Source organism: Homo sapiens, chromosome 17 (genome assembly GCF_000001405.40).
Source record: "Homo sapiens chromosome 17, GRCh38.p14 Primary Assembly".
Lineage (NCBI taxonomy): Eukaryota > Metazoa > Chordata > Mammalia > Primates > Hominidae > Homo > Homo sapiens.
This window is the reverse complement of record NC_000017.11, coordinates 77,183,725-77,203,966: the sequence shown is the minus strand read 5'-3', so window position 1 is coordinate 77,203,966 and position 20,242 is coordinate 77,183,725. Positions and strand designations below refer to the sequence as shown.

Here is a 20,242-nt window from a genome sequence, read left to right as displayed (position 1 = left end):
GTCTGCTGTGAGTGGCGTCCCAAGAGAGGGCAATTCCACATGGGAGTGAATGAAAAGACTCAAACTGCTGCTACACAGGCATCTCGGGGGAGACCCTGACTGCCTCACTGACGCTTCCACTGTGAGAAACACTTTTATAACTTCTGTGTCTCCTTTTGAAATTTTAAGACGATATTAATATATTTTCAGTCCTAACTACATAAGCAATTCATGTTTGTTCTAACAGGCTGGTTAACACCCCAATCCTACTGGCAGAGAAAAAAAGTGACGCCACAGTGGCACCTGGAGTCTCGCAGCCGCGCACTTACGTATCTCAGCAGGGCTTCCTCCCCGAGCGCTCTCACCAAGCCTTTGGTGTCCATCTGCCCCAGCCTGAGCACGTAGAGGGGCCGCCCATCTGCAGAGGAGGGGAAGGAATGAGTTGTCAGCACCATCCCAGTTGAAACTGAGGATACAACTCTAAGACCCTTAACAGGAATATGTGTTCGCCTGTGTTCTAGGGGCGCTTAAAAGTCTTTCTGATTCTTAGAAGTGGCAACTGATTTGTGTGATAGGGGGTGTGTGTCCAATATTTACCCCAAAAAGCTGTAAGCGAGAAAAATAAAAACCAACTGACAGGGTAGCTGTGCAGGGTCCTGGAAATAGAAGGCTGTGCCGGGATGAGGGGAATCCGGCTGGGACTCACTCAGCTCGAGCTGCATAAGTGCTGGGCTCAGTCTGAACAACTGCCCATAAGCTGGGCTCACTTTGAACAACTGGGGCTGCCCAAGAGCTCTGATTTTCAACGGCAAGGGAACATCAAACTATCCAGACACTTTTTCTATGACTACAGAGTACTTTTAAAATTTTCTTTCTTAGAAAATCATTTTTTTTCATGTCATAGATTACTAAAAACTGAATGAAAGCTTTTTAAAAGCCAGCTTCCCTCAATTCCCACTCTAAGGACCAAGACAAATGAGAACATTCTAAAAATCCTTAAAACCCCACCAAGCAGCCTGTGTTGGCTCTACTCTGTTTTTTTTTTTTTTTTATTTTTTTATTTTTTTTAGAGAGAGAGTCTCTCCCTGTCACCCAAGCTGGAGTGCAGTGGCACGATCTCAGCTCACTGCAACCTCTGCCTGCAGGTTCAAGCAATTCTCCTGCCTCAGCCTCCCAAGTAGCTGGAACTACAGGCGCACGCTGCCATGCCCGGCTAATTTTTTGTATTTTACTAGAGACAGGGTTTCACCGTGTTGCCCAGGCTGGTCTCAAAATCCTGAGCTCAGGCAATCCGCCTGCCTCCGCCTCCCAAACTTCTAGGATTATAGGCGTGAGCCACTGTGCTGGGCCTCCTTTTTTGTTTTTTATTTGAGACGAAGTCTTGCTCTGTCGCCAGGCTGGAGTGCACTGGCACGATCTCGGCTCACTGCAACCTCCGCCTCCCAGGTTCAAGCGATTCTCCTGCCTCAGCCTCCCGAATAGCTGGGACTACAGGTGTGTGCCACCACGCCCAGCTAATTTTTGTATTTTTAGTAGAGACGGGGTTTCACCATGCTGGCCAGGATGGTCTTGAACTCCTGATCTCAGGTGATCCACCCGCTTCAGCCTCCCAAAGTGCTGGGATTACAGGTGTGAGCCACCGCGCCCAGCCTCCTTTTTTTTTAAGTAGAGACAACAACTCACTGTGTTGCCCAGGCTAGTCTTGAAGTCCTGGGTCCAAGCCATCCTCCTGCCTTGGCCTCCCAAAATGCTGGGATTACGGGCATGAGCCACTGGGCCTGGCCTGACTCTACTTCTTTATAGCCTGGAGGTCTAATGGGTGCCGCCTGAGAGGAGCCTAACTCCTATCATACTGCCCTATCATCATGGGCCATCTACACAAAGGGGAAAAAGAGCTTGGTGGCCATAGTGTATCCCTAGAGTCAGCACTGCCTAGCCTCCTGCCGCACAGTCCCAGAAGGCGCAGCAGGAGGAATACAGACGATTGTGCTCCTGAAAAGGAACCAAGACTTGTCTTCGGTGGTTACCAGAAGACCAGCAGTGTCGTCCCAGCATGGGGCAGAGGGTTAGAGGGTAACATTTATCTTGTATTTGTCACCTAGTGAACTTCATCTCCCAGGAGAGTCTAGCTCTAGACCTGGTCTACTTAAAGCAAAACATTTTTATGTGCTCCAAAATCTTACGGAAAGGCCTATTTACAGAAAGTTTCTCCCAACGTTTAATAAGACACATTTGTTGAGGCCGGGCGCAATGGCTCACGCCTGTAATTCCTGCACTTTTGGAGGCCAAGGTGGGCAGATCACGAGGTCAGGAGTTCGAGACCAGCCTGGCCAATATGGTGAAACCCCATCTCTACTAAAAATACAAAAAGTAGCCGGGCGTGGTGGTGCACACCTGTAGTCCCAACTACTCGGGAGGCTGAGGCGGGAGAATTGCTTGAACCCGGAAGGTGGAGGGTGCAGTAGGCTGAGATCTTGCCACTGGACTCCAGCCTTGGGGACAGAGCGAGACTCTGTCTCAAAAAAAAAAAAAAAAGACACATTTGTCAATGTCTTACTACCAAACTTTTTAACAATACAAAAGATGAAGTCATAATCACAGACAAAGCTGAGCTGCTCGGTTCTGCAAGGACTTGTTCAGAGGGTAAAAGAACCAGTTCTACGGTGCTTCCCTCTCGCCGACGTTTCCAATTCCATCCTGCCCGGCTCTCAAACTTTGGCTCAGGAAAGAGTGTATTTTTGACAGTGCAGGTCTTCCTGCAAGGCAGGGTATGGAAGGCATTTGGGGGAACTGTGTTTTAAGGTTCTCATTTAAACCACTCTTCATTTCAGGTGCATCGCCCCCCTTCATCCAGGCCTTACTTACTCCCAAAGCAGAACTGAAGTGCTCAGGGCTGTGATGTAGAAAACCGGGCTGAACCGTTTTAAGCTATCATAGGGTTTAAGTCATTGAAAAGTCCCTTTATTAACACTGCACTACTGAAAATACTCTGCCAGAGGCACTGCTGTCTTTTTAATAGGTCAAAACAAACTGTACTGCACCGAGCAAGTGAAGTCATTTGCCCAAGGATGACGTGTGTCCATGAGGAAAGAGCAGTCCCAGGCCCTTCCTGGCTGCCCGGGGCGGGACGGGAGTGTGCCCGTGGTGACACGTATCAGTCTGTTCAACTTGGGAAAGGTGCCAAATTCTCAGAGTGAGGAGAAACGATGCACTCAAGGGGGCCCCACTCAACTCCAGGGAAGGAGGCCTTGGAAGATATCTTCAACCACACATCAAGACAACGATGGAAACACAGTTTCAACTCCATCCGGTACCTTTGTCGTGATGATGCCAGCCTCCCGCGTAGTAATCCTGAAGGACCTGAGGAGGGGTCCAGGTTTCAAGAATGTAGTCTACCTGATGCTGCTTTCTCCACGTCAAAGACTGACACATGATCTCTCTGGCTTTGTCAATATTAAAATCCCGTGCACGGAGGAACCGAAGAATATGCTCATCTTTTGGAATCTATTAAGAGAAAAAGACATTTCTAAGCAATGTTAAAAGTTGTGAAGGGAACTTTGGGAGGCTGCGGTGGACGGATCGCTTGAGCTCAGGAGTTCAAGACCAGCCTGGCCAATATGGTGAAATGCCATCTCTACTAAAAATACAAAAATCAGCCAGGCATGGTGGTGCATGCCTGTAATCCCAGCTACTCGGAGGCTGAAGCAGGCGGATCACTTGAACCTGGGAGGTGGAGGCTGCAGCGAGCCGAGATCACATTACTGCCCTAAAAAAAAAGTTGCTAAGGGAATAAGACCCTAAAATTCCCACTTTTCTTTTGGAGACAGGGACTCTTATTCTGCCACCCAGGCTGGAGTGTTGTGGCATGATCTCAGCTCACTGCAGCCCCCAACTACTGGGCTTAGGCAATCCTCCCACCTCAGCCTCCTGAGCAGCTGGAACCACAGGCACACGCCACCACGCCCAGCTCATTTTTGTATTTGTAGAGATGTGGTTTCCCCATGTTGCCCAGGCTGGTCTCAAACGCCTGAGCTCAAGCAATCCTCCTGCCTTGGCCTCCCAAAGTGTTGGGATTATAGGCATGAGCCACCATGTCTGGCCTGAAACTCCCACTTCTAATCAACAGTGAGCTGCACTATTATACTATTAAAAATGAGGTGGTACCAGAAACATCTCCCTTACTACTCTAGAGAAAATCAGCATTATCAGTTTGAATAATCTTTATAGTATTTCATTTTCGTTTCCGCAAAGTAGAGCAAAGGCATAAATAATTCCCTAAACATCAAATGCTTCAACTCTATGAACGGATCTATGAATGACTATGATCCTTGCACTTTTCTGTATACATACTGCATTTAAATAAAAAGTTAGAATAAAGAGAGAGCAGGACACCTGGCTTCTGAATGGAAACCTTCGTAGTGCCAGAGACAAAAGAGAATTAAACATGGATGATGTTGAGAAAGGCAAGATTTTTGTTCCAAAGGGTGCCGCCCAGTGCCACACCATGGAAAAGGGAAGCAAGCACAAGACTGGGCCACATCTCCACCGTCTCTCCGGGCAGACGACAGGTCAGGCTGCTGGATTCTCTTATACACAGATGCCAATAAGAACAAAAGCATCACCTGGAGTGAGGACACACTGATGGGGTATTTGGAGAATCCCTGGAACAAAAATGGTCTTCACTGGCGGGGTGTGGTGGCTCAGGCCTGTAATCCCAGCACTTTGGGAGGCCAAGGCAGGTGGATTGCTTGAGGTCAGGAGTTCAAGACCAGACTGAGCAGCATGGAGAAACCCTGTCTCTACCAAAAATACAAAATTAGTCGGGCGTGGTGGTGCACGCCTGTAGTCCCAGCTACTTGGGAGGCTGATGCAGGAGAATCACTTGAACCTGGAGGCAGAGGGTGCAGTGAGCCAAGATCGCGCCACTGCACTTCAGCCTGGGCAACAAGAGCGAAACTCCATCTCAAAAAAAAAAAAAAAAAGAAAGAAGACGGCAAGGGCAGACTTGAAAGTTTATCTCAAAAAACCTTCTAATGAGTAATAATTGGTCACTGTCTTATTACAAAACAGAAATGTCATGACTTTTTAATGCATATCATAATTTAACAGATCTCATGGCCGGGCGCGGTGGCTCACGCCTGTAATCCCAGCACTCTGGGAGGCCGAGGCGGGTGGATCATGAGGTCAGGAGATCGAGACCATCCTGGCTAACACAGTGAAACCCCATCTCTACTAAAAATACAAAAATTATCTGGGCGTGGTGGCGGGTGCCTGAGTCCCAGCTACTGGGGAGGCTGAAGCAGAAGAATGGCGTGAACCCAGGAGGCGGATCTTGCAGTGAGCCGAGATCGCGCCACTGCACTCCAGCCTGGGCGACAGGGCGAGACTCCGTCTCAAAAAAAAAAAAAAAAGAGATCTCATACACCAGAATTCAGATCATGAACCATCATCAGAATAGTTTGGTTGGGCAATCCTGATTTAACTAAGGCTGGCTTGTGGTTAAAGGACTATGTTCGGTTTTCTGAATTTTAATAATTCTGATTCAGTAACGCTACACTGCTTTCCCCTTCTAAAGATGTGACTGGACTTCGCTAGTAATGTTCAACTTTCACAAAGATCGTAAATGCCATCTTAAAGCCTATTGGAGATTGGTTTTATATTTGGGTTTACATAACTGGCCATATGACTCTATTTAAATACTGAGGAAATCCCTTCACTGTCTCAGAACCAAGCAAGACTCACCTGTATTTTGTATTTATTTGCCTCTTAAAGGCAAAGGCTGAAGATAAGGCAGCAATATCTACTTTATATTTTTGGCCTTAACTATGCCAATCTAATTAGAATTTCCTGTATCTAAAATGGTTCCCTTTATTTATTAAAAGGCATTTTAGTGTAGTTTATGTGTAATATCAAATAAGGAATATTTAACACTTCTCACATTTTATAGACAATCTATAAGGTCAGATGCTTTTAAAAGTCAGTATGACAAGAAATAGTAGCAAGTTAAACTTTACTTTTGAATTCTTTACTACTTAAGTCAGACTAAGTTATAATTTAGCATTGTCTTTAAAAAGTCATTCGAGGTTGGGCCCAGTGGCTCACGCCTGTAATCCCAGCCCTTTGGGAGGCTAAGGCAGGCGGATCACTTGAGGTCAGGAGTTTGAGACCAGCCTGGCCAACATGGTGGAACCCTGTTCTCTACTAAAAATACAAAAATTAGCCAGCAATGGTGGCAGAGCTAACCCCAGCTCTCAGGAGGCTGAGGCAGGAGAATAGCCTGAACCTGGGAGACAGAGATTGTAGTGACCCAAGACTGCACCAGCCTGGGTGACGGAGCAAGACTCTGTATACATATATAAAAAAAAAAAAATTCAAAAACATAAAACTGTAGAACTACCATGTGTCTACGTGACTGGCAATGGTGCTTTTGCCAACTCATTAGAAAGATTAAAGTAGAGAAGATATACACAAAGTTAAAAATTATGAGTGATCATAAGACTTAAGATAATTAAAAACAAAAACTACAGATTAAAGAAAAAGAATACAAAAAAAGCATGTTGGGTTTTCATGATGTGGCAGTATTGCTGACTAACACGCAGGAATCTTCTCCAGGTTCCATTACTGTCAATCAACAGGTTGGCCTCCCTGAATAAAGAACAAGGCCAAGGCCGTGTTCCGAGTGTCACGTGGACCAAGTGTCTTCCTCCGTGGCCATGTGTTTACCAACTCAAGAGGCTGGTCCGTCAGAACAAGAAGGGGGTGGGAACATGAGCTATTCATGACCCCAACTCCTGCGAAATAACTCAAAAGCATGTGGCCTACTGACGTGGCATCATCTTCACTCAGAAAGGACCACAGTTACGTGGAAGTGGTTAAGAATGTAGGTTCTGGAACAAAATGGCCTGGGTTCAAATCCTGACCCCACCACTCGCTGGCTGTGAGACCTCAGGCAGGTTACTTCACTGCTCTGTGCCTCAGTTTCCTCACGTGTAAAACCAGTGAGAAAAACAGCAGCAGAGAGAGCTGCCGGAAGGATGGAATAAAGACCTGAAAACAGTGTCTAATACATGGTAAGAAGACAACAAACGGTGGCCATCATCACTGCAGTGGTTTTCTTGATGACTGGTATTCAACAGCACTCAGTTATTTGGTTTCTAGTAAGCAGGCTGACAGAATTAGAGATCAGGCCAAATACATGCAATGCCTAGTTTCCCTTTACTAAATAATGCCAATAACTCGCTAGACACATACCAGGCTCTGCTCACTACATAAGGCTTACCATAAAAATTTACACCTTTATGAGGCTAAAATTTCACCAAAAACCTGAAAATTAAAGCTCAAACATTTCTAATCTCTGATAAATCTCTGAACTCTTTTTACACCTTCTGAAAATTTGAATGTGTGAATACTTGGAACACATGTTGCTTTGTGACGTGACACTGTTTGTAGCCAGACCTTGCTCTGTAAAGTCTAGAAAAATGCAGTTAGTCATGCATTATCACTTGCTATAAACGACTTAGATTCCACAGAGACATAAATTCAATGACTTCTAAACTGGAAGAAACATTCCCAGCCGTGGAAGTTGGGAATATCACTCTTGGTGACTATGACAGAAAGAGATTCCATGATTTCACGTAGCTCTGGCCCTGCACACTGGGTGTGGTGCTGACACTCACTTTGCCCTTGTGGGTCTCCTGGAGCCACTGGCGAAGTCTAATGAGGCAGCTCTCCTGCAGCGGAGTCAAATCGCCCAGGTATCTCTTGATGTAGTCGGCATCTAGTTTGTCTGGAATGTAAGTGACATTTATTTACAACAAAGAACACTGGAGCTTTAGGCTCCCAAAGTCTTTGTGCTCAGTGGAGTTAACGTGTGGTCCTAGAGTCCTAGAGGCACATGAAACCGCAGAGATGGCAGATGTAAACCAGATTCCTTAGAGGACTTGAGGGATAGGCTCTGAGATCAAATCACTGACTAAACCACAGGTACACTTTCTGACTCAATTATCTTTCCCTGATTACCACTGAGTTACCTCTATTGCCAAATCACAATACTATTCATGACTATAATAGATATTAATGACTGTTTTAATTCCAAGAGGAACATAACACAAAAAGGACTTGCAAGATATAAAATTTATGGAAAAAAAAAAGCCAAGCAAATCTAAATCTATTTTGAATGGAGCTACTGTGTTGGAGAATGTAAGAAATCTGGTGGCTCACGCCTGTAATCCCAGCTACTCAGGAGGCTGAGGTGGCCAGATCACCTGAGATCAGGAGTTCAAGACAAGCCTGGCCAACATGGTGAAACCCCGTCTCTACTAGGAATATAAAAATTAGTCAGGCGTGGCGGTGCAGGCTTATAATCCCAGCTACTCAAGAGGCTTAGGCAGGAGAATCACTTGAACCCAGGAGACGAAGGCTGCACTGAGCCGAGATTGTGCCACTACACTGCAGCCTGGGCGACAGAGACTTTTTTATCTCAAAAATAAAAAAATAAAAAAATTAGTCAGGCGTGGTGGCACATGCCTGTGGTCCCAGCTACTCGGGAGGCTGAGGCAGGAAAATCACTTGAACCCGGGAGACGGAGGTTGCAGTGAGCCAAGATGGCACCACTGCACTCCAGCCTGGGCAACAGAGCAATACTCTATCTCAAAACAAACAAACAAACAAACAAAAAAAAACACCTTCCTTAGGCCAGGTGTGGTGGCTCACACCTATAATCCCAGCACTTTGGGAGGCCGAGGCAGAAGGATTGCTTGAGCCCAGGAGTTCAAGACCATCCTGGGCAACACAGTGAGACCCCATTTCTTAAACAAACAAACAAACACCTTCTGGTATCCATAAAAGAATAAAAATAACTTGATATAATCCTTCCTATTAACAAAAAATCTAATAAAAGGTAAAATGAATGTATTACATAAGCGAGAGGACAAGGGCCAGAAACGAGAGACGGGTCTTTCCTTTCTGAGTTATCTAATGTTCCAAGGAAGCGGGAACAGGCAGAGCAAACAGAGAGAAAACGGCAACGCCGACTTCCCTAGCCTTGCTCTCGGGATGAAGCCCCTGCCAGACCCACCGTCAGGGGTGCCCACCACGGGCTCAGGTGCGCTGGGGCTGCTGAGGGCATCACCACTCAGCCCCTCCTTGAGGGCAGCTTCTGGGATGACGACGGCCATGGACGCTGCTTGTTTCTTGGAGGATGATGAAGATGTCTCTGAAGAGGTCGTGATGGAAGGCGGACTCCAACGGGGCACAAAGGTTATGCCTTCTTCTTCTAATTGGCGAAGGTAGTATTCGATGATTTCCTTTCCCTTTAAAACAAAACCAATTTAAAGGTGAGTATATATTCAACATTCAAATTACTCATCTCTCCCAAGATTTTTCTTTTTTTCTAGCCAACGGAAGATGGTGAGCCTCACAATCTTTTTTTTTTTTTGAGACAGGGTCTCGCTTTGTGGCCCAGGCTAAAGCACAGTGGCATGATCACAGCTCACTGTACCCTTGACCTCCTGGACTCAAGCCATCCTACCTCAGCCTCCCCAGTAGCTGGGACTACAGGTATATGCCACCTCATCCGGCTAATTTTTGTATTCTTTGTAAATACGGGGTTTCGCAATGTTGTCCAGGCTGGTCTCGAACTCTTGGGCTCGAGCAATCTGTCCACCTCAGCCTCCCAAAGTGCTGGGATTACAGGCATGAGCCAGTGCGCCCAGTCCCTCACAAGCTTTTAAAACACCAATAAAACTGAATTGCTACAAAATTAATAGAAAAAAAGAAAAGGCCAAATGCTTCTGTGTTTTTGTTTATTTTACTTGTTATTTTCCAAGGTTTAGGAAATGGTATCTAATGAGATGGAATTTTTATATGACTATTTTAAAATGCTGATTTAGGGTACTTGTACTCAATATATGATTTCTGTCTCAATTTCAATTCTTTCCAACACAGTACCCTGAAAATGAGCCTTCAAAAACCACTCCATAATCCCACACGGATAGATTTCAAAACCACAATTCCCTAACAACTGATGAACAACAGCACAAAAACGAGAAAGGAAGGTCTTCTGTGGAAGAACTGACAATCCAAGGGGGGCAGCCTGCTCGGCAAGCACCTCCCCAGGCCCCCAGGCCTCCTCCCAATCCTGCAGCAAGGCCTGGGGGCTGTGTGCCAGCTGCTGCTGCCTCTCCCCAACTTCTAACTCTCTCAGCAACTCCAGGCAGACAGTGCCATTGCTAGAGCTACAGGCACCTCCTTCCTCCATCAGCAACCAGCACAACCTCAACCCCTATACCTAAAGATGAGGCAGGGGGTAGGGATCATAGCATCTTCCACCCAAGAAATGCTGCAAATCCCTTGCTAAGCCATCCCCAGCCTTCCAAAAAGATGGTCATCTCAGAGACTCCTGCCCACCCTCTGCCACAAAATCCCAAGATACACTCACTTTTTTAATGTTGCTGGTATATTGTTTCATTGCAATTTTTTCCACTGTACTTTCAAAACCAAAGAAAGATTTAATATCTAAACTTGCAGACTGTTCAAAACAGGTCCAATCTTCATTTTCAGGGTGAACCTGCAGATAAAGAGAAAGCACTCTCACTGACTGAATTGACAACAGAATATCATCTGCCTGCTCCTCAGTTTAACCAGTAACCAGAAAAAAACACTTACGTTACTAACAATGCTACTACCATAAAGACAGCAGATGGAAAAAATGCCAAAATCATGTTCAAAATCAGGATCAAAAGCACATTCTAAATCATGAAGAGATCCAAATAATTGTTCAAAAACATTTCAAAGATGACTATAAAAGGAGAGCTTCATTTTCATTCTTGCTTCATTCATTCATTCAACATACTCACTGAACAGTCTTCTCCATCATGAACAAAGAGGTATTGGCCTTGGAAGCTTTCAACAGAGTCTAACAGAGGAGACAATCAGCCAGAAACACAGTATGCAAGGAAATTAAAGATAAGTAAGTGCTATGGAAAAAAGAAAACTTGGAGCACAGGCTAAAAGAACCAGGGATGGGGGTCAGGCATGATGGTTCACACCTGCAATCCCGACACTTTGGGAGGCCAAGGTGGGAGGATCACTTGAGTCCAGGAGTTTGAGACCAGCCTGGGCAACAGAGCAAGACCTCATCCCTACAAAAAAATTTAAAAACTAGCCAGGCACGGTGGCATGTGCCTATAGTCCCAGCTACTTGGGAGGCTGGGGCAGGAGGATCACTTGAGCCTGGGAGGTGGAGGCTGCAGTGAACTGATTGTTCCACTGCACTCCAGCCTGAGCGACAGGGCAAGATCCCATCCCTGAAGAAAAAAAAAAAAGCCTGGGGGTTGGGGAGTCAGGCTGCAGAATTAAATGGGTGGCTGGGGCTGGCCAAGAAGGGGTGACCTGAGCCGAGATGGGAGGAGGTGAGACTAGAGACGTAGGGAAGAATAGCACGGCACAGCGAGCACCTTGGAGCCAAAGCCCCTGGGGGAGGCCCACTGCATGACAGCAAGGACAGGAAAGGCGTAACCAGGAGAGAACTCAGGCCCTTGCAAGTCACCATAAAGACTATGGGCTCTTCCTCTGGGCGAACTGTGGAAACACTCCAGGGTTTTGAGCCCATAGAAGTGACTTAATCTGACATACTTTAAATAGATCACTTTGAATTCAGTGTTAAGGATACACTGCAGGGGAGAAGGGCAGAAATACAGCAATCTGTCAGGAGAGTATTCTAAAAATCTGATAAAAGAAGTTCTTGAAACAGGGTGGTAAGCAGTGAAGATACTGAGACAGACAAACACTCTCGGCACTATTCTTAAAGGCACACATCTTAGTCCTTCATTAGATATTTCTAACATATTACAGTAAGACCAGAAAAGAAGTGGCATATGAATGTAATATTTAAGGCCAGGCGTGGTGGCTCACGCCTGTAATCCCAGCATTTTGGGAGGACGAGGCAGACGGATCATGAGGTCAGGAGTTGGAGACCAGCCTGGCCAACATGGTGAAACCCTGTCTCTACTAAAAATACAAAAATTAGCCGGGCGTGGTGGCGAGTGCCTGTAATCCCAGCTACTTGGGAGGCTGGGGAATGAGAATAACTTGAACCTGGGAGGCAGAGGTTGCAGTGAGCTGAGACTGTGCCACTGCATTTCAGCCTTGGTGACAAGAGTGAGACTCCATCTCAAAAAAAAAAAAAATTAGGCCAAGGGGTGGATCACGTGAGGTCAGGAGTTCCAGACCAGCCAGGCCAACACGGTGAAACCCCATCTTTACTAAAAATACAAAAATCAGCCTGGCGTGGTGGCGCTTGCCTGTAATCCGAACTACTAGGGAGGCTGAGGCAGGAGAATCACTTGAACTCGGGAAGCAGAGGTTGCAGTGAGCCGAGATTGCACCACTGCACTCCGGCCTGGGCGACAGAGGGAGACTGTGTCTCAAAAAAGAAAAAAAAAACAAAACCAAATCAAGGCATCACTTGGCTGCCTTAACTGCCACGACAACATAATACACTCTGCAGGAGACCACACCTGCTACCCTTCCTCCTACACATGAGAAATGAGTGACAACATCTAATGAAGAACTGCCCTCTAAGACAAAAAGATGCACTGTTTAAAATGGTGATCAAACAATCCTCAGAAGCCATATGTCGGCAGAACATCTTCCGCCGAGTGACAGATTACTCACGGTGTAGCAGCAATGCTCATTAATGATGACCCGATTGGAAAACGTTTCATTATAAGCCTCAATGTGCAAAGTACGTTCCCGAGAATTCAGTGAGTTTTTCTGGACAAAATAAACATAATCAACTCCTGCAATCTTCAAAAAAAAAAGAAAGAGAAATGGGTTTATTAATAACAACCAATAGCACAGAAGCTATAGTATAAGTTCATGTTGTCTCTGGGGGCTGCCCTCCAGGACGCCCTCTCCCTCCAGGACGCCCTCTCCCTCCAGGATGCCCTCTCCCTCCAGGACGCCCTCTCCCACCAGGACGCCCTCTCCCACCAGGACGCCCTTTCCCTCCAAGACGTCCTTTCCGACCTTTACCTTCTTCAGCAGTCTGGGTGCATCTACATCCAGCTTGCAGCGCCTTTCAATGACATGAATAGCCCCATCTTCGCTCTTGAATTCATTCACAGTGTCACTGCCCACGAACATCGGAATCAAAGGACATGTAGGGAACCTCCTTTCATAGGCCTATAAATTTAAAAACCAAGAAAGCAGAAGTGAGCAAAGACACAACCTGATGTCCTGCCGCTGACTGTGTTCTCCCTGGAACAGCACCTCTCGGTGCACGGCAACAGGCAGCGCCACAACTGTCTTCACATCTGAAGCTTTCATTAAAGAAGAAAAAGACACTCCATGTCCATGGATCGGAAGATTCAACCTAGTAAAGATCTCAATTCTCCCCATAAGTAACATCATTCCTAACAAAACCCCAGCAAGACTTTGTGGTAATTATAGACAAGATTGTTTTAAAATTTATATGGAAAGACAAAGGAACTAGAACAACTAAAACGATTTTGAAAAAGATGAATAAACTGGGAAGAATCAGTCACCCCGGTATTAAGGCTTACTCTATAACTACAGTAATCAAGACCATCTAGTATTAGGAGAGGGGTAACTGACATACAGATCTATGGGACAAAATACAGAACCCAGAAATAGACTCAAACAAATACACCCAACTGATTTATTTTTTAGTATCTGCACCTGTCAGGGAACACCGACTGATTTTCAACAGAGATGTAAAAGCAATGAGGGAAAGAAAGCACGCCAGTCTTTTCAACATGTTACTGGAGCAATTACACATCCATAGGCTGAAACAATAATAACAATGAATCTTGATCTAAACCTCACACCTTGTATAAAAATTAACTCAAAGATCAGCGACTTAAATGTAAAACACAAAACTAAAACTTTTAGGGAAAAAAAATAGAAAATCTTTGGGATCCTGGGCTAGGCAAAGAATTCTTAGATGTGACAACAAAATCACAATCCACAGGAGAAAAAATATATAAAATGAACTTCCTCAAAGTTAAAAACATTTGCTCAGCGAAAGACCCTGTTAAGGCCGGGCGCGGTGGCTCACGCTTGTAATCTCAGCACTTTGGGAGTCTGAGGTGGGCAGATCATGAGGTCAGGAGATTGAGACCATCCAGGCTAACACGGTGAAACCCCGTCTCTACTAAAGATACAAAAAATTAGCCGGGCGTGGTGGCGGGCGCCTGTAGTTCCAGCTACTCAGGAGGCTGAGGCAGGAGAATGGCGTGAACCCAGAAAGCGGAGCTTGCAGTGAGCCGAGATCGCGCCACTGCACTCCAGCCTGGGCGACAGAGTGAGATTCCATCTCAAAACAAAACAAAACAAAACCCCTGTTAAGAGAATGAAAAAACAAACTACAAAATGGGAGGAGGGATTTACAAACCATGTATCTGACAAAGGACTAGTGCCTAGAATACATAAAAAATTCTTAAAACTCAACATAAATACAGTGAGCCAGGAGAACACTGGTTTGGACTGAGCTCCTGCACCAGGCCCAGCAGACCAAACCAAAATGGAGTCCCTCTTGGTAACCTCCATACCACCAAGCCAAAAGTAAGTTGTTTATCTGACTTTGCAAGAAGTCAGGAGAAAGAGAACAGCAAATCCCCCAAATGGGCCAGTTTGGGCCAGCGTGGTAAGGAAGTCCCCTCTGCGTTAACCTTTACAAGGGAAGTCACTCTGAAACCACCCATCTGCTCTCTGTTCTCTGTGTCTGTTTCCCTCACCCCTTTTCTGTCTACAAAGCCAGCTTCCCCTGCTCAGCTCATGAGAACACTCATTCTATTTCACAGAATTCTGTTTTATAGAATGAGGTGTTGCCTGATTCTGGAATCAAAAAAGCCAATTAAGATCCATACACTAAATTTTTTTGTAATTTTGTCTTTTGACACACAATTGAAATTTAAAAATGGTTAAGATGGTAAATTTCATGTGCTTTTACCATGATTAAAAAAAAAAAACAACTCAAGAGTTTTAAAAAGTCCAATTAGAAAATGTGCAAGAGACAGGAAGTGATATCTCACCTGAGAGGACACACAGATGGCAAATAAGCACACGAGAGATGTTCATTAGAGAAAAGGGCCATTAGGGAAATGCAAATTAAAATCACAAAGGAGTATCACTATACAACTATCAGAATGGCTAAAATAAAACACAGTGCTGGTTGGGATGTGGAAGAACTGAATCCCTTCCACATCATTGGCAGGAATGTAAAATGGTGCAACCACTCCAGAAAACAGGTATCTTCTTAAAACCTAAACATGCAACGGTATACAACCCAACAAATGCACTCCTGGGCATTTATCCCAGAGCAATGAGAGCTTATGTTCGCACAAAACCCCATATACAAACATTCATAGCAGCGTTACTCATAATAGAAACTGGAAACAACTCCGAGATGTCCTTCCTGAGTGAGGCTAAATGGACTGCGCTGCAGCCACACCACGGAACACTACTCAGCAAAAAAAAAGAATGAACTATTGATCCAGGTGAGGAACTGGATGAATCGTGGGAGAATTATGCTAAGCTAAAAAAAAAAAAAAGCCTCAGCAGTTACATACGGTATGATTCCCTGTCCATAACACTCTTGAAAAGACAAAACTAGAGAAACCGAAAACAGAAGAGTGGTTGCCGGGGCTAAGGAAGGGGTGGGGACAGGAGCGAAGCAGGTGTGGCTGTAAAAGGGCCATGAGAGAGATGCCTGGGAAGCACTCTGCGTCTCGACTATGCGCACGGCAGCATCCTGACTGTGCTGGTGCACACAGTTCTGCAAGACGTTATCACTGGGGGAAGATGAGTAAAGAACACATGAGATCTTTCAAGATTATTCCTTGTGAATAATTAAATTATTCAATATTATTCTTTGTAAATAATTTAATTTACTCTGTAGCAATCCACAAAGATTACCAAACTAAAGATGTTGCAGAATTCATATTAAAACCTAAGCGATCCAGAGGCCCAGGCGTGCAGATCACTTGAGCCCAGGAGTTTGAGACCAGCCTAGGCAACATAGCATAACCCCATCTCTACAAAAAATATAAAAATTAGCCAGGTGTGGTGGTACATGCCTGTAGTTCTAGCTACTCAGGAGGCTGACATGGGAGGACCACCTGAGCCCAGGAGGTGCAGGCTGCAGTGACCTGTGATTGCACCACTGCACTCCAGCCTGGGTAACAGAGTAAGAGTAAGACCCTGTCTCCAAAAAAAAAAAAAAAAAATTCCAGTAGCCCATGGTGCATGTGAACTGGAAGTCATAGGATATAGGGTAATAAGAATAAGGCCGGGTGCAGTGGCTCACGTCTGTAATCCCAGCACTTAGGGAGGCCAAGGCAGGCAGATCATTTGATGCCAGGAGTTTGAGACCATCCTGACCAACATGTCGAAACCCCATTTCTACCAAAAATACAAAAATTAGCTGGGCACGGTGGCATACACCTGTAATCCCAGCTACTTGGGAGGCTGAGGTGGGAAAATCACTAGAACCTGGGAGGCAGAGGCCGCAGTGTGCCAAAATGGTGCCACCACACTCCAAACTGGGCGGCAGAGAGAGACTCCGTCTCAGAAAAAAGGGGTGTGGGGGGGGGGCATAGGGTAGTAAGAATCTAGGCTGTAAGAAGGAACCTGAAAAAGGAAACCCAGTGCCTGCCCCTGTGGTCGGCCCCATTATAAAGGAAGGTACTGCAGGATGACTCTTGCTTGACTGATAGATGTCACCCCTCTGTAAGGTTGTATGGGTTGAGCATCCCTTCTCCAAAATGCCTGGGACCAGAAGTGCTTCTGATTTCAGAATTTTTTCGGATCTTGGGAATAGCTCTATTATACTTACTGGTTGAGCATCTCAAATCCACAGATCTGAAATCCAAAATGCTCCAATGAGCATTTCCTTTGAGCATCATATCAGTGCTCAAAAAGTTTTTGATCTGGAGCATTTCAGACTTTGAACTTCCAAATTTGAGATGCTCAACCTGTACTAAAAATGAGGCGAGGTTAGAACTGTGAATTCCCATCTTAAATTAATCACAACCAAAAACAGAGTTAAGGAAGAAACCTTTGGTGTTAAAAATATTAATGAAAATGGCACAAATGGCTTTGATTTTACTTCTGACAAGGTACAAGTAGCTTCAGACCATTATTATACTAAAAACACTCCCTTTCTGGCAGCAATTCCCTGATGTTTACCTTCAACAGGACTGCCCTTCTGAACAGAAGTAATACACAGATCACAAATACTGCCATCAAGATCCCAGAAGGACTAGAGAATCACAGGAATTCCTCCGCCTGGGTTTTTACTACAATTCCTTCAAAGTCACCCTCAGTTTTCTTGCCTGTATCTCACTTTCTCTCCACAACGTTACAAGGTTAAATCGATGTGAAAAGCACATGCTACACTCCAGCTGCCTACGCACAAGGGACCATGGTAGTCAGTACAGGAGGGAGGGAAGGGAGTCAATGACATCCATGAGGGTCAGAAGGATAAGCAGGTGCCAGGAGGCAGAAGGGGGAGAACACGCTCTGCGTGGAGAGGCAGCGTGGGGAAAGCCTTTGAGAGAGAGGAGGCATGCAGGCTGGGCCTCAAAGCGTGCCAGGGTCTGTTCACAGCCAGCGAGGCGGAGAGCGTTTCCAGGAAAGAACTCAGGAGTGCGACTGCAAGGCAACCTCAGGTGGCGGCAGGACCCACAGCCCCCAGGGGAGGGAAGTGGTGAGAGGTGAGGCCAGGGGTCACTGTGGTGCATGACGATGTGGCATAGACCATGCCTTGCCGGGTGCAGACAGAAGGCCCTGGCCTTCCTCTCCAGGAGCTGGGATGGAGGGAGCACGAACAGGTGGCCAGAGTCACATTTTCAGAAAATTAATAAGAGACTCATGCGCAGGATGGTCTGGAAAGGATGCAAAACCCACATGTGGTAGCCAATTATATTTGCTTCTTAAATGTTCTTACTTTGGAAGTTAAAAATATATTCTTTATATTTATCTGCTCCCCTCTTCTACTCAAACATGTTCTGAATCCCATTACTGCCAGAATCTTGAAAAATCACTCAGTATCTGTCTCTTCATACACTTTATGTAAACAACACTTAAGCAGTTTAATCACCTGCTCAGATCCCACCACAGATAAGTCCCATTCAAAGCCCTAAGAATTTATTAAGTACCGAACACGAACAATTCCTAGGAAAACAGGTTGGCTACCATTTGTTCTATACGGACACTGAAAACCATCTAAACTGACTTCCACTGCACTCTAATTAAAAAAACAAAAACAAAAAAAACTGGCTTTGTACATTCCAGTACTGTGACGTACCAAGAAATTGAGACTTACAAAGGTTTCAAACAAAATGAATCTTTTTAAGTGACATATAGGGCAGAGTAAGCACTTACTAAGAGGTAGCCTTAGCTAGAACTAGGCCATTTTCAAAATACACACACCATCCTTCCAATTCCTGAAACAAGAGTGGTCAGCATAAGGTGTCACCCACGCAGCCTCACCTTGAATTTCAACCACACTAAAAACGTTCCCTTCCCTGTAAAATTCTCCATCCACGTAGACTCATATTTGCACAGACGTTCACTTTACCTTGGCATGCCCAACCAGATGGCATTTAAGGTATCCAGGCTAAGGAGCAGCTAACTCAGAAGCTGCACTGACCTCTCCAGAGCTCTGTCAGCGTCAGGGGCAGTTAGCAAGCGCCTCCCTTACTCCCTCCACATTCTCTTCCAAGCCTGTCACTCTGCCACCAAATGCACTGCTAGGCTGCAGGGCAGAGACTTTTTATCCTCAGGAGAACGAGGACTTCAATGCCTAAAACAAAGTCCTTGTCCAAAAAACATGTTTTGAAGCATACAATACAATCTTACTCAATAAAAAGATAAGTCCTGCCTTTTGTTTCTGCACTCTCTTACCCTGACCCGTCTTTCAGAGATATGTTAAGGTCAGTAGATTCTGCATACTGTCAGCATACACAATTCTAACTGTGGAGGGTTCTGGAAATGAAAAGACTGCAAAAAGTAGATGTAACTTTCATCTCTGGGATGGCTTAGGTACCAGAACCTGAGTTTTTCAGCATGAGCTACAAGCCACGCGAGTTTCTACAAAGTATGTAAGCAGGCCCTGAAAAACAGAAGCATTCTAATTTGATTAAAAACATCAATCTATGTACTAGCTCCTAGCTCTTTCCATTGGAAGGGGTGAAAAGCAATGACATCTCAGTTCATGATGAGCAAACCTGGCAACCAGATCTTGATTTCCAAATACCAGTCCCTATTACAAAGGAATCCGTGCGGTTGATTACAAGTCTGGAGCAAGGGAAGGTCAAGGCGAGGCAGAAACGTTTCTCACCAGGAGGCAAGGGAGTGCTCAGATGGGCATATGCCCAAGGGACAGAGGAACCAGCCTGAAGGGGCTCCACTCACCAAGTCTGGGATAATTTGAACACCAGAAAGAAAAAAGGGTGGCAAAGCATTATAAACCACATAGTGATACTCAACAGGGGAGAAAATTTTTCAGGAAAAAAAAAATCTAATCAACACAGAAGGATTGCCAATTAGGAAATCACCATTTTCTAGCCACCAATGCACAATAACTGATTCAGACAAGGATCATCAATGAATGCTAACGTAAGGCATTCAGAAGAGACAGGGCCTCAAATTATCATCCTGCAGGTTACAGATAAATTTAACAAAGGAACAAAGGTGGGTACCTTTACAATGGAAAGATCTCATGGGCACCACCTTCACCAAATGACTGAACTGAGCCCCAGCAACAGGACAGCCACAGAGCCTGGCGTGATGCAGCGGAAGCAGACACAAACACCACAGGCTTCTGCGGCCCTCAGGACAAAGATGGCTGACCCTTAGCTAATCATGGGGAAATAAGGCCGGGCATGGTGGCTCACCCCTGTAATCCCAGCACTTTGGGAGGTCAAGGCAAGCGAATCACCTGAGGTCAGGAGTTCGAGACCCGCCTGGCCAACATGGTGAAACTATGTTTCTACTAAAAATACAAAAATTAGCCGGGCGTGGTGGCGCATGCCTATAATCCCAGCTACTCGGGAGGAAATCATCAGACAAACCCAAATTATGGAACAGTCTACACAACCACCCTAGACGCTTAAACGAAAAAAAAAATGTCAGAGTCTTGAAAGATAAACAGAAGCAGCAAGGAACTGTCTAGAATAAAGGCATCTAAAGAGAGAACAACCAAATGCAATGCTGCATTAGCTCTTGGATTGGAATA

The 20,242-nt window shown here is 45.4% G+C and overlaps 1 protein-coding gene and 1 pseudogene across 7 annotated transcripts in view, besides 2 other annotated features; one reads left to right on the top strand and one right to left on the bottom strand.

The window, feature by feature from the left end:
- Window positions 1-20,242, bottom strand: part of SEC14L1 (SEC14 like lipid binding 1) — a 128,417-nt gene that overhangs the window by 13,135 nt on the left and 95,040 nt on the right. For 6 of the 7 annotated variants that reach the window (NM_001204410.2, NM_001204408.2, NM_001143998.2 and 3 more), the window contains 7 exons: window positions 13,015-13,164; window positions 12,655-12,786; window positions 10,418-10,546; window positions 9,056-9,290; window positions 7,656-7,765; window positions 3,294-3,483; window positions 309-397 (listed from right to left, as the gene is read on the bottom strand). In NM_001204410.2, coding sequence (NP_001191339.2) covers window positions 309-397; window positions 3,294-3,483; window positions 7,656-7,765; window positions 9,056-9,290; window positions 10,418-10,546; window positions 12,655-12,786; window positions 13,015-13,164 — 1,035 coding nt within the window. Of the gene's footprint in view, window positions 1-308; window positions 398-3,293; window positions 3,484-7,655; window positions 7,766-9,055; window positions 9,291-10,417; window positions 10,547-12,654; window positions 12,787-13,014; window positions 13,165-18,583; window positions 18,755-20,242 lie in introns of those variants that run through there. The other variant, NM_001144001.2, reaches the window with a different exon arrangement.
- On the top strand, window positions 4,424-4,666 carry CYCSP40 (CYCS pseudogene 40; annotated as a pseudogene).
- Window positions 17,167-17,666: an enhancer, noted in NCBI's record as "H3K4me1 hESC enhancer chr17:75182383-75182882 (GRCh37/hg19 assembly coordinates)". NCBI's record gives its function as "activates a minimal SCP1, AML or CMV promoter by ChIP-STARR-seq in naive H9 embryonic stem cells {active_cell/tissue: H9 hESC(naive)}" and the evidence as "EXISTENCE:reporter gene assay evidence [ECO:0000049][PMID:30033119]".
- Window positions 17,667-18,168: an enhancer, noted in NCBI's record as "H3K4me1 hESC enhancer chr17:75181881-75182382 (GRCh37/hg19 assembly coordinates)". NCBI's record gives its function as "activates a minimal SCP1, AML or CMV promoter by ChIP-STARR-seq in naive H9 embryonic stem cells {active_cell/tissue: H9 hESC(naive)}" and the evidence as "EXISTENCE:reporter gene assay evidence [ECO:0000049][PMID:30033119]".